The following is a 12,257-nucleotide window of genomic DNA, read 5'->3' on the forward strand; positions in this document are numbered from 1 at the left end:
CCTTGAGCCAGGGATGTTACCTGCTGAAACACCCTCTTTGGGGCTCTGTGGTTCCTGGTGTCTCTGAGCTTTTGGGCACCATCATGTTAGCCTTGTCCAGACACTGGTGCCTGCAGCAGAAGCTGCTTGTTGTCTGGTCCAGCCGCAGCCTCGCACAGAGCTGGCACCTTGAGCTGCCCAGCCTGCCTCAGCCAGCACACCTGGTTGTATGCAGTGGCTAGATCCCCAGCTCACTCGCTCTCACACCCCTTGCTGCTCTGCACCTGACCCGCCCTTGGCAGGCGTGGGATCTGGGCCGGGAGCATCAGCCAAGCAGAGCCTGCTGGACCGAGTAGGCAGAAGGAGTCCAGGGGGCATGAACAAAACCCAAGCAGAGGCGCTGCCTGCCACAGAAGTTTCAGGGTGGCAAAGCAACACCCAAAGGATCCTGTGACACTGCCAATGTGGTATGGAATCTTCTACCTATTGGATGTGTAACCTTGTGCAAATCAGCTAGTTTTCCATACTAGAAAGTACGAATGCAGATGGTGTCTACTTCAATGGTTGTTTCAGGGATTTAAGGACATAATGTATGTAAAGATGTTAACATAGTGCCTGATCTATTGTAAATGATGGCTGGTAACTCTTATTAGTGACTATTACTTGAATTGTAATAGTAAACATATAAAGAAATGAAATTTAATACACAGTGCTGACTTCAACAGCCCAGTAATAGCAGACAATATAAATAAAATATGCATTGGAACAACCCATCATACCATTAGAGATACTTAACCTTAATCCGTAATTTACTATCTGTCTTTGCTTTGCTTTCTTTCTCTTTTGCCAGCAAATGAGATAGTAGAACATATGCTTTAAAAAATTCTCCATATCAAATAGTAATTTTAGAAAGACATCATAATAGCTTATTAGAGAAGTCAAAATAACCAAAATACACAAAGGTAATAAAATTGTTCCTAGATTTCTGCATTTAAAGTTGTTTAAAGATGTTTAAAGTTATTCTAGGCCAGGCACGGTGGCTCATGCCTATAATCTCAGCACTTTGGGAGGCTGGAGGCTGGAGGATCAGTTGAGGCCAGGAGTTCGAGACCAGCTTGGGCAACGTAGCAACACTTCATCTCCACAAAAAAATTAAAAAAATTAGCTGGGTGTGGTGGCATGTGCGTGTAATCTCAGCTACTCAGCAGGCTGAGGTGGGAGGATCACTTGAGCCCAGGAGGTTGAGATGAAGTGAGCTGTGATTGCGCTGCTGCATTCCAACCTGGGTGATAGAGCGAGATCCTGCCTCAAACAAAGAAATAAATAAAATAAATTTGGTCGAAACATTGAATACATAGCTTTTCTCCCTTTAATCTCCTTCTTTGAGATATAATTTCTTTTTATTCTGTTATGGGAATTTCTTTCTTAAAGAAGTTTTACAAAGCAGATTCTTTAAAAGTTTACAAAGCAGATTCTTGGGTTGCTTAGTCCTGATATACACAATCAAGGAAGATGCAAAATTTATTTCCTTGAAAAAATATATACCCTTCTTGTTTGGAGATAATTTTGAAGTGGTTTCTGCATAGAGTAGGAGGTCTTTCTGTAAGTATCAATGAAACAAACAAGGAAAGCCCAAGGTAAATTTGCACAACAAATGCCTGCCTCTTGGCAACATGAGAAAGCCTCTTGCCACTGCTGCTACAGCTCTTTCATTTAATTATTCTTAGGTGACCATGTCAGGATTTCTAGACAGTATCCTTGGAAGCTAAGTGCTTTGAATGTTTGAACTGTATTAGTCAATGTAAAACTCATGCTCCTGAGTATTAGAGATGGTGCTCCAGTGAATCATAAAATATGCTAATTAAACAACAATGTTTTTAAATGGGACCCTTTTCTGATCTATTAGGGTACCTAATTTAGGGCCGTGAATACATTGGCATTATGACTTTTTAAATGAAGAAAGCAATGATCATGGCCAACATAAGTGCAATAATTTCTAGTTGACAATGTGCTCTATTTAATCATCTCCACATGTATTAACTGATTTAACTCTCACAGGTATCCTGTGAGATAGGTTTTATTATTCGCATTTTACAGATGAGAAAAATGAGTCTTTGAGAGTTTGTGTCCCCGGTTACACAGCTAGAAAATTGTCAGAACAAGATTTTAACCTGGGCTCTTTAGCTTTAAGTTTCTTTCTTTTCCATTACATTCATTGATGAAAATTTCCCAACTTTTCCTCTTTTGTATTTGAGAAAGCTGAATATAACAGAGGTCAAAGATAGAAATGGCTCATTCAAGACCAGGTGCTGTGGCTCACACCTGTAATCTCAGCATGTTGGGAGGCCAAGGCAGTTGGATGGATTAAGCCCAGTAGTTTGAGACCAGCCTGGGCAATATGGCAAAATTCCATCTCTACAAAAAATACAAAAATTAGCTGGGCGTGGTGGCGTGCGCCTGTGGTCCCAGCTACTTGGGAGGCCTAGGCGGGAGGATGGCTTGAGCCCAGGAGGTTGAGGCTGCAGTAAGCCAATATCGCACCACTGCGCTCCAGCCTGGGTGACAGAGTGAGACCCTGTCTCAAAAAACAAAAAACAAAAAACAAAAACATAAAACAAGAAAGAAAGAATGAAAGGAAGGAAGGAAGGAGGGAAGGAAGGGCTAATGTAACTGTCTTTATGGTTTTTCAAGTAACAATATTTTTAACTTTCATGTGTATGATTTTGAGGTACTGGCATTGGAGGCCTCTGTAGTTACAAACGTTCTATTTCTGCTTTGAAATGGCAAAATTCAGAGCTGAAAAATAGACAAGTTCAAGTTGCTCAGGAGTAAACTTTCTGTAATAAAGTATTTTGTGAATGATCATGATGTTCAGGACTTCAGCATTTCCAATTGTCTTGTAAATGTAAGATGCTCCCAAGTAATGAAGGGTGACCTATTGAGGCTGGCAGATTAGATATCAGGTAATTAGATTTGTTCATGAGCTTATCTAGTACTGAGCAACAATTGCAAGCTTAATCCCATCTGGGATGAATCCCATTTGCTTTCTGGCCGCTAACTTGGATAAGTCAAGGTCACTACATTCAGCCTACTTTCTTTAAACACATACACTTCCTAGAAGGGCATTGCTTTCTTTCACATGGGAGCACAACAAATAAGTTATTATTAGTTAAGGTTTTCATTATAAGATGCCAGAGATGCTACCTATTCATAGATTTTGTGTAGAAATGAAGCTGTTTTGATGCCAAGGATAGAATCATGTAGTGTTTCAAATATTTCCATGCTGGGCATAGTTCTGAGAGCAGAAAGAAAACGAGAGAGCTGACCTCTGTCTGGCCTAGGCTCTTTCAAACAATGTAACTCTTGGAATTAGTTGCAGGCTTCAATCAATCAATAAACAACAAGTAACTATTGATTCCTTTGTAAATCATGTTCAAGGCTATCATATATATGATAAGAAAAAACTCCTACTCTCAAAGAATCTATAAGCTAATAGAGGATATTTGAAAATATTTGAGAGCAGTCAGTGAGCTGACCCAAATCAATGGTGTTTGAATCTTTGCTTTAGGAACTCAAGTGAAGGAAACAGGGATTTCAACTGAGGAGACTAGCGTGACCATTTATGGACAGCATTGAACTAGGTTGGGTGGCATGCGGCTAAGAGGCAGAAATAAAGGATAGTCGTGAGAAGGAAATCCACAATAGAAGGGAAATTATGTGAGTTTGTTTTGAGGGACTGGAGAGAAGGTTCCTACCTAAAATAAAAATCTGGAAATATTAGGGTGAACCCATTTGTGGAGGGACTGAAATGACAGGCTGAAAAACCTGGGGTTCATGACAAAATGCCGCCAGCAATTTTTTTTTTCACCAGCAATTTTTGAGGGAGCAGATGCCCAGCTGAAGGTGACATGTCAGAATGACTGAGCTGGTGGCAATCTGACATGAAAAGGGAGGTGATTGGAGCTTGCCACTGGAGGCAAGGAAGCCCACCAGGAGGTGTGGCAAAAATTCAGGACTGTTTTTTTTTTTTCCTGTATGGTTCTAGTTAATGAAGCTAGAGACTTAATTGTATCCAAGGTCTCTCAGCACAAATTTTGCTTTGGACTAGTAAGCTCTCTGCACTCTCTACTTCAAGGGTAAGATGGAGAATTGCCACAGATTGCTGACTCCTTCCTCAAATCCCGGAGATACCATGTCAAAGAAAGAAAACTAAGTGAATTAAACAGCTGTGATTATCAGACAGTGGCAGTCAGAAAGTGACCAAACCTGCCTGAAACGTGGAGAGTCAATGGTGGGGTGTGGGGGAGGGCTAGTTTGGGAAGAGCAGCAGTTGTGTGAAGGTTGCCTGGAGTGGGAAAGGGCCAGGTGGTATAAGAGGGAGAGGGGCTGAGAATAGTGGCAGAATTATATTCTCTTCCCTTCTCTGAAGGGGCCATTGTTAATCTGATTGCTGCCAGGTGGCAAGAAAGCCAGCCTGAAGCTGCAAGGTTAGGCTGCCCCAGGGCAGCTCAGGAGCCCAGCCGGTATGGGAAGTCAATAGATGAGAGAGGGAATTAGCAGGCCTGGAAACTTCACACTTCCCCCAAGGGCAAAGCCATTATCACAGGGACAGAATATGGCACACTACAAATCAGTGCAGCTCACAGCAGTCCCTGGTTAATTCTGAGGTTCCCTGGGGAGAGGGATAGCTGGAAGAACAGGGAATGTTTGAGCCCAGATTGCAATTCTAAGGCCTCTCTAGCCTAGGCTTATTAATACCTATGGGACAGAAACTAGATCCTAGGTTTTCATCCACCTCTTCAGATAGACATTACTAGCAAAAGCAACTGTTGTCCTACAAGAATAAAAAGCAAAGATGGCTGGGTGCGATGGCTCATGCCTATCATCCTAGCACTTTCGTAGGCCAAGGGAGACCAGCCTGGAAAAGAAAAAAATTAGAAAATTATCCGGCTATGATGTTGTGCGTCTGTAGTCCCAGCTAGTCAGGAGGCTGAGGCAGGAGTATCACCTGAGCCCAGGAGATTGAGGCTGCATTGAGTGTGATTGTGCCACTGCACTCCAGCCCAGGCAACAGAGCAAGATCCTGCCTCAAAACAAACAAACAAACAAACAAAGCCCAGCAAACACATAAGGGAAATTCCCAGGCATCTGAGGAGTGTAAATATAATGAAAGGCAGCAAACTGGCAGAACTCTCCTGGAGGAAGTAAAATCAAAAGTAAAACAGATTGAGAAGGCAAAATAAATACAATTAATATCACCAGAGAAATAAAAGAGACTATTTTTTAAAATGCCACAGAAACAAACAGGTATAAAGAAGCATTTTGAAATATCAACTTTAAAAATATAATTATTGAAATGAAAGTTTTATTATTTAATGGATGATTGCATAATGAAATTGATAAAGCTGAAGAATACATAAGATGAAAGACTGGGTCAGGAAATTACAAAAGTGGCTGGGCATAGTGGTGCATTTCTGTAATACCAGCATTTTGGGAAGACGAGGTGGGTGGATCGCTTGGTCCCAGGAATTCGAGACCAGCCTGGGCATAGTGAGATCCCTTCTCTCTCTCTCTCTCTCTCTCTCTCTCTCTCTCTCTATATATATATATATATATATATATAATTTTTTTTTTTTAAGATGGAGTCTTGTTCTGTCGCCCAGGCTGGAGTGCAGTGGCACAATCTCGGCTCACTGCAAGCTCTGCCTCCCGGGTTCACGCCATTCTCCTGCCTCAGCCTCCTGAGTAGCTGGGACTACAGGCGCCCGCCACCACACCCGGCTAATTTTTTGTGTTTTTAGTAGAGACAGGGTTTCACCGTGTTAGCCAGGATGGTCTCGATCTCCTGACCTCGTGATCCACCCTCATCGGCTTCCCAAAGTGCTAGGATTACAGGCGTGAGCCACCGCACCTGGCCTATTTTTTTTTTTTTTAAAGAAAACATTAGGAAGGCATGCAAAGAAAGATTGAGAGACTAAACTACAGGGAGGCAGAAACAAAAGCATCAACACACATATAAAAAGAGACCCCAAAATAGTGAAAAAACAAATGGAGGGTTTGAAATATTTGAAGGCGTATCGACAAATATTTTCCAAAACTAAAATGTTGGAACTGGGATTAGAACCCAGGAAGTCTAGCTCAACTATTTGAGCTCTTAGCTATTCACTTTCTACTCAATTAATCAATGAGTAAACTTTAACTAGAAGAGAATTCAGCCAGGTTCTGAATAGAAGCTGTGTGTGTAGTATTGTACTATTCCAGCAATAACCAACAAGCTTGTAGTAGGAAATAAGATACTATTTGTAATAGCAACACTAATCATATCTCAGAATTAGACATTAGGGAAAAAAAGTCAACTGTTCGAGGACTACTTAAAAGGCTTGGCCTGGAAATGGTGCATACTGTCTCTGTGGGGCTTAGTCTGAAAGAGGTTGGTAGACATTTGCAAAAGCACTGTGAAAAATTCAGCTAACAATGATTGTCTACATAAAGTTAAACATCCAGCTATTTCTAAATATCTTTATGAATTATGTCATAATTCAGATAAAGAAAGATGAAAAATGGGCATACATGTAGACCTGTTTGTGCAGTGTTTGTTAAGGCTTGGAAGTCAGAACACATTGGAGCCCTTTCAGTTTAGCCACTGAAACCTCCAAAGGTAGACTCATCTTCAAGGCAGTTATAGAGGACGACCTGGAGAATTAATTTATGGCATAAAAGAGTATTTGGAGGAAAATCCTGCCAAGTACCTAATGCAAAGTTCCTAACTGTGTGTGTCTATGAAAATTATAATATATGCAGACATACCTGGACCTTAAGAAATATGCGATTGAACTCAAATAAAATTGACTAGAGGTTCTTAAGTGTAGAACACCCGGCAGAATACTCAAAGGAGAACTGATCACCCTTCCTATCCTTTCTGTTAGGTTGTGGACTACGCATCCATAGCACTTGGATAATGATTAATAAGGCATATGTGTATTCATTGCTTTTTAAAAATCTTCTTAGCAGTCCTGGAAATGATTATTTTTTACATTGAAACTTAGAAGCGTAGAGTTTCAAAGTTGGAAGAAACTCAGAGATCCTAGAACAGTCCCCTTGTTTTGCTGATGAGAAAAGATAAATTGCCTGTCTGAGTTCACAAGGCAAGGTAGTGGTTGAGATAGAATTTAAACCTAGATAATCTAAACCCACATTCCAGTAATATTAATACCTTCTGCAAAACAGACCTTTTGTATTGTTAGGGGCATTGCTGGAAGACAGGGTATGGAGGGGAGATGGGTAGTGCTGGCAAAAAGGAGGTATTCATTGGGCAGAGGGAAGATTCCCAGTCAGTTTAGTGCATATTCAGTGCAGTTTGGTGCAAACAGTAGGTGCCTATTCTTTTTTATTTTTTCTTTTGAGACAGAGTCTCGCTCTGTCACCCAGGCTGGAGTGCAGTGGCCCTGTCTTGGCTCACTGCAACCTCCACCTCCCGGGTTCAAGCGATTCTCCTGCCTCAGCCTCCCGAGTAGTTGGGATTACAGGTGTGAGCCCCCACGCCCAGCCTCGTAGGTTCCTATTCTATGCAGGGCACTGTGATAGGCATTCGAGTACTACCCTTGTCCTTGAGAAGTCCTGACTTGCTACGCCCTCTTCCTGGTTTGGGATTCTTCCTTTATTAGACACTGATAATTTCCCATATTATCAGTTTTTCCCCATATTAGCCACTGATAATACTGGCATTATGCTGTCAACCTTAAATAATAAGATTTTAAAATATGATTAAATATGGAATTTATTTGAGCATAAAGCTTAAGGATAGCCACCTGGAAAACACAGATTCTAAATGAATGGGGCCCATATTCCAAAGTGAAGCAGTTCAAGTTTCACTTATACAGGCAGACACAGGGAAGTATTAGCAGGATTACAGCATTTTCTACCCAAGACTAGTGCATGGGTTACAGCGATTTGATTGGTTACAGATTGCTACATTCCAAGGAAAATTATTTTATTACTACCTGACTAGAGGTAAAGATCTGAGTGGGTCTTATCTCTGGAGCCACTTGTTATTCTTACCAATAAGTCTTAATTATTTACAGAAAGAAAAAAAAAAGGCAGAAGTTCACTATGTGCTGTGTGGCTCAGGGTGAATAGCAACATTTCATTCAAGGCTCAGAATACTCTAACGTACCAACAGCTTGGCCAGGCATGGTGGCTCATGCCTGTAATCCCAGCACTTTGAGAGGCTGAGGCAGGTGGATCACTTGAGGCCAGAAGTTCGAGACCAACATAGCGAAATGACCAACATGGCAAAACTACGTCTCTACTAAAAATACAAAAAATTGGCCAGGCGTGATGATGCATGCCTGTAATCCCAGCTACTCAGGGAGCTGAGGTGGGAGAATCGCTTGAACCCAGGAGGCAGATGTTGCAGTGAGCTGAGATGGCGCCACTGCACTCCAGTCGGGGTGATAGAGCGAGACCCTGTCTCAAAAAAAAAAAAAAAAAAAGAAAAAAAAAATCCTAACATCCAACAGCTTTAAATTCAGATTACTTAATTTCACAATGCTTTCCACTTATTTTGCAATCTGTGAGCTCCTGGGCCAGGCACAGTGGTTTACGCCTGTAATCCCAACACTTTGAGAGGCCAAGGTGGGTGGATCACTTGAGGTCAGGAGTTTGAGACCAGCTGGGCAAAATGGCAAAACCCGGCCAGGCGCAGTGGCTCAGGCCTGTAATCCCAGCACTTTGGGAGGCTGAGGCGGACAAATCACGAGGTCAGGAGATCAAGATCAGCTTGGCCAACATGGTGAAACCCCGTCTCTACTAAAAATATTTAAAAAAAAAATAGCTGGGTGTGGTGGCGTGCGTCTGTAGTCCCAGCTACTCGGGAGGCTGAGGCAGGAGAATTGCTTGAACCTGGGAAGCAGTGGCTACAGTGAGCCGAGATCGTGCCACTGCACTCCAGCCTGGGCAACAGAGCAGGACTCCGTCTCAAAAAAAAAAAAAAGGAAAGGAAAAGAAAAAGGCAAAACCCTGTCTCCACTAAAATACAAAATTTAGCCAGGCATGGTGGTGCACACCTTGTAGTCCTAGCTACTTGGGAGGCTGAGGAAGGAGAATAGCTTGAACCCGGGAGGCAGAGGTGCAGTGACCCAAGATTGTGCCACTGCACTGCAGCCTGGGTGACCACAAGACTCCGTCTCAAAATAAATAAATAAATTAAAATAAATTAAAAAAATAATAAAGATCTGTGTGCTCCTGGAGGGCAGAGGTTAAGTCTTCCTCCCTTAGGTTCACCCAGCACTGAGGAAATCGCATGGCTGTGGTAGGTACCCAGTGTCACATGCTGCAGAGGCCTGGGTAAGGGTAATGAAAGTGTCACTGATGGTTCTGGGTGACTCAAAGCACACGCTTTCCCCAAAGCCTACTTCTGGTTAGCTGGTGTTATAGAGGCCAAGGGAAAATTTTCTCTTTGCCTTCTGGAAGTTTTACTGAAAAACCAACTGACAAAAGGCAGGTTAATAAGAAAGAAGGCGTGCAAATTTATTATTAATAATATGCATGGGGGACAACACAGATGACCCCATCCCCTCAGTGAGGCTCAGAAGCTTTTCTCCCTCTTTTTTTAAATTTAATTTAATTTTAAGTTCTGGGATACATGTGCAGGAATGCAGGTTTGTTCCATATGTAAACGTGTGCCATGGTGGTTTGTGGCACCTATCAACCCATCACCTGGGTACTAAGCCCCGCATGCATTAGCTATGAGGTTACGCAAAGAATGTGGGCTCAGAGCATGGCCACAAACAGGTTATGGTCGTAAATCATGTGACGGTGGCAAGACAAGTTATGGAAGGGAGAGAAGAGGGTGGATGGCTAGCAAAGGTGGCCTTGTTATGTAGATGAAACCTCAAGGGGTAGCAGCCCTCAGAGAGAAGAAATGGTATATGTTTCTTTTAGATCTTTAGAGATGTCAGACTCTCAGTTCATCTTTCCTAGATCCGGACAAGGGTGGGCCTCAGAGAATGCATGGCTGCATGAATCAGATTTTCTCTATAGAGGCAAAGCTCCCCGCAAAAGACAGCTTCTTAGCTACTCTTCTATTTCCAGCCCTTCTGAATTGCCATCTTGAAATATGTCAAAGAAGTAGGCTTTGGAGTGAAGTATTTTGGTTTCCTTCAGTATCCATGCCTTTCCTCAAGGTGGGGATGACTTACCACTGCAGAGATTCTTTCACTCTCTCCATAAGTGGTGAGAAAACTTAGCTCTAGCCTCATGGTATATAGAGCTCTAACAAGTCTCCCAAAGCTGTGGGAAGAAAATGAAGATGTTTTGTCTGTGACATTATAGAGACATCTGTCTCAGGTGAACCCTTTGCTAAAGAACAGGAATTTCTGTGGGGTCCTCCAAAGGTGATGAGAGCCAGAGCCAGTAGTTCAGCTTCCAGTTTTCTGAGTGGTGGGGAGGGGTTTGCAGACACACAGGAATGGCACCTCCATCCTTTTGTGAGCCATTCCTGTGTGTCGTTCTGCCAGTCCATGGCCTGCTGGAGTCTGCTGGTACCTGTCGGTGTGCTGTTCTGCCACTGTGTTCCTCTCGATGTCCGGCTGCTTGTGTATTCTTCCCAACAGGGACTTGGGGTTTTTATAGGCACAGGATGGAGGTGTGGCGGGCCAGGGTGGTCTTGGGAAATGCAACATTTTGGCATGAAAACAGAAATGCCTGTCCTCACCTAGGTGTGTGCGCACAGGCCTAGGGGTGGAGCCCTCATCAGGGACCCCACCCTTCTTCTCCCAGCACTTCTCTGCCCCGCCTCCTGTGTCATTTGTGTACCCATAGTTTAGCTCCCTCTTAAAGTGAGAATATGCAGTATTTGGTTTTCCATTCCTGAGTTACTTCACTTAGGATAGTGGCCTCTGGTTCCATTTAAGTTGCTGCAAAAAGCATTATTTATTTTTTTTATGGCTGAGTACTGTTCCATGGTGTGTGTCTGTGTGTGTGTGTGTGTGTGTGTGTGTGTGTATATGGAGAGATTGTGATATATGTATATCACAATCTGTGTATGTGATATATGTGTGTGTATATATATATATGGAGAGATTGTGATATATGTATATCACAATCTGTGTATGTGATATATGTGTGTGTGTGTATATATATATATAAATCTCTCTCTCTCTCTCTGTCTCTCACACATACTCTTTATCCACTTATCAGTTGACGGGCACTTAGGTTGACTCCATATCTTTGCAATTGTGAATTGTGCTGTGATGAACATGCATTCAGGTGTCTTTCTTGTATCATGACTAATTTTCTTTTGGGTAGATACCCAGTAGTGGATTGCTGGATCGAATGGTAGATCTATTTTGAGTTCTTTGAGAAATTTCCAAACTGTTTTCCATAAAGGTTGTGAGAGGTGACAGCGTGCTGGCAGTCCTCAGAGCCCTCGCTTGCTCTCAGCACCTCCCCTGCCTGGGCTCCCATTTTGGTGGCATTTGAGGAGCCCTTCAGTCCCCCACTGCACTGTGGGAGCCCCTTTCTGGGCTGGCCAAGGCCGGAGCCCACTCCCTCAGCTTGCAGGGAGGTGTGGCGGGAGAGACAAGAGCGGGAACCGGAGCTGTGTGCGGCACTTGCGGGCCAGCTGGAGTTCCGGGTGGGCGTGGGCTTGGTGGGCCCCGCACTCGGAGCAGCCAGCCAGCCCTGCTGGCCCCGGGCAATGGGGGACTTAGCACCCGGGCCAGTGGCTGCGGAGGGTGTACTGGGTCCCCCAGCAGTGCCGGCCCACCGGCGCTGCGCTCGATTTCTCGCCGGGCCTTGGCTGCCTTCCCGCGGGGCAGGGCTCGGGACCTGCAGCCCACCATGCCTGAGCCTCCCACCCCCTCCGTGGGCTCCTGTGCGGCCCGAGCCTCCCCGACGAGCGCCACCACCTGCTCCAGGGCGCCCAGTCCCATCGACCACCCAAGGGCTGAGGAATGCGAGCACAGGGCGCAGGACTGGCAGGCAGCTCCACCTGCAGCCCCGGTGCGGGATCCGCTAGGTGAAGCCAGCTGGGCTCCTGAGTCTGGTGGGGACGTGGAGAGTCGTTATATCTAGCTCAGGGATTGTAAATACACCAATCAGCACCCTGTGTTTAGCTCAAGGTTTGTGAGTGCACCAATTGACACTCTGTATCTAGCTGCTCTGGTGAGGACGTGGAGAACCTTTATGTCTAGCTCAAGGATTGTAAATACACCAGTCGGCACTCTGTATGTAGCTCAAGGTTTGTAAACACACCAATCAGCACCCTGTGTTTAGCT

General features: G+C 44.0%; 1 long non-coding RNA gene across 1 annotated transcript in view, besides 1 other annotated feature; it reads left to right on the plus strand.

The window, feature by feature from the left end:
• ITGB1-DT (ITGB1 divergent transcript) overlaps positions 1 to 12,257 on the plus strand; it is a 99,552-nt gene that overhangs the window by 55,121 nt on the left and 32,174 nt on the right. The gene's annotated exons all lie outside the window — the stretch shown is intronic.
• Positions 11,674 to 12,174: an enhancer, noted in NCBI's record as "H3K27ac-H3K4me1 hESC enhancer chr10:33338273-33338773 (GRCh37/hg19 assembly coordinates)". NCBI's record gives its function as "activates a minimal SCP1, AML or CMV promoter by ChIP-STARR-seq in naive H9 embryonic stem cells {active_cell/tissue: H9 hESC(naive)}" and the evidence as "EXISTENCE:reporter gene assay evidence [ECO:0000049][PMID:30033119]".

Source organism: Homo sapiens, chromosome 10, assembly GCF_000001405.40.
Source record: "Homo sapiens chromosome 10, GRCh38.p14 Primary Assembly".
In the NCBI taxonomy this organism is placed as follows: domain Eukaryota; kingdom Metazoa; phylum Chordata; class Mammalia; order Primates; family Hominidae; genus Homo; species Homo sapiens.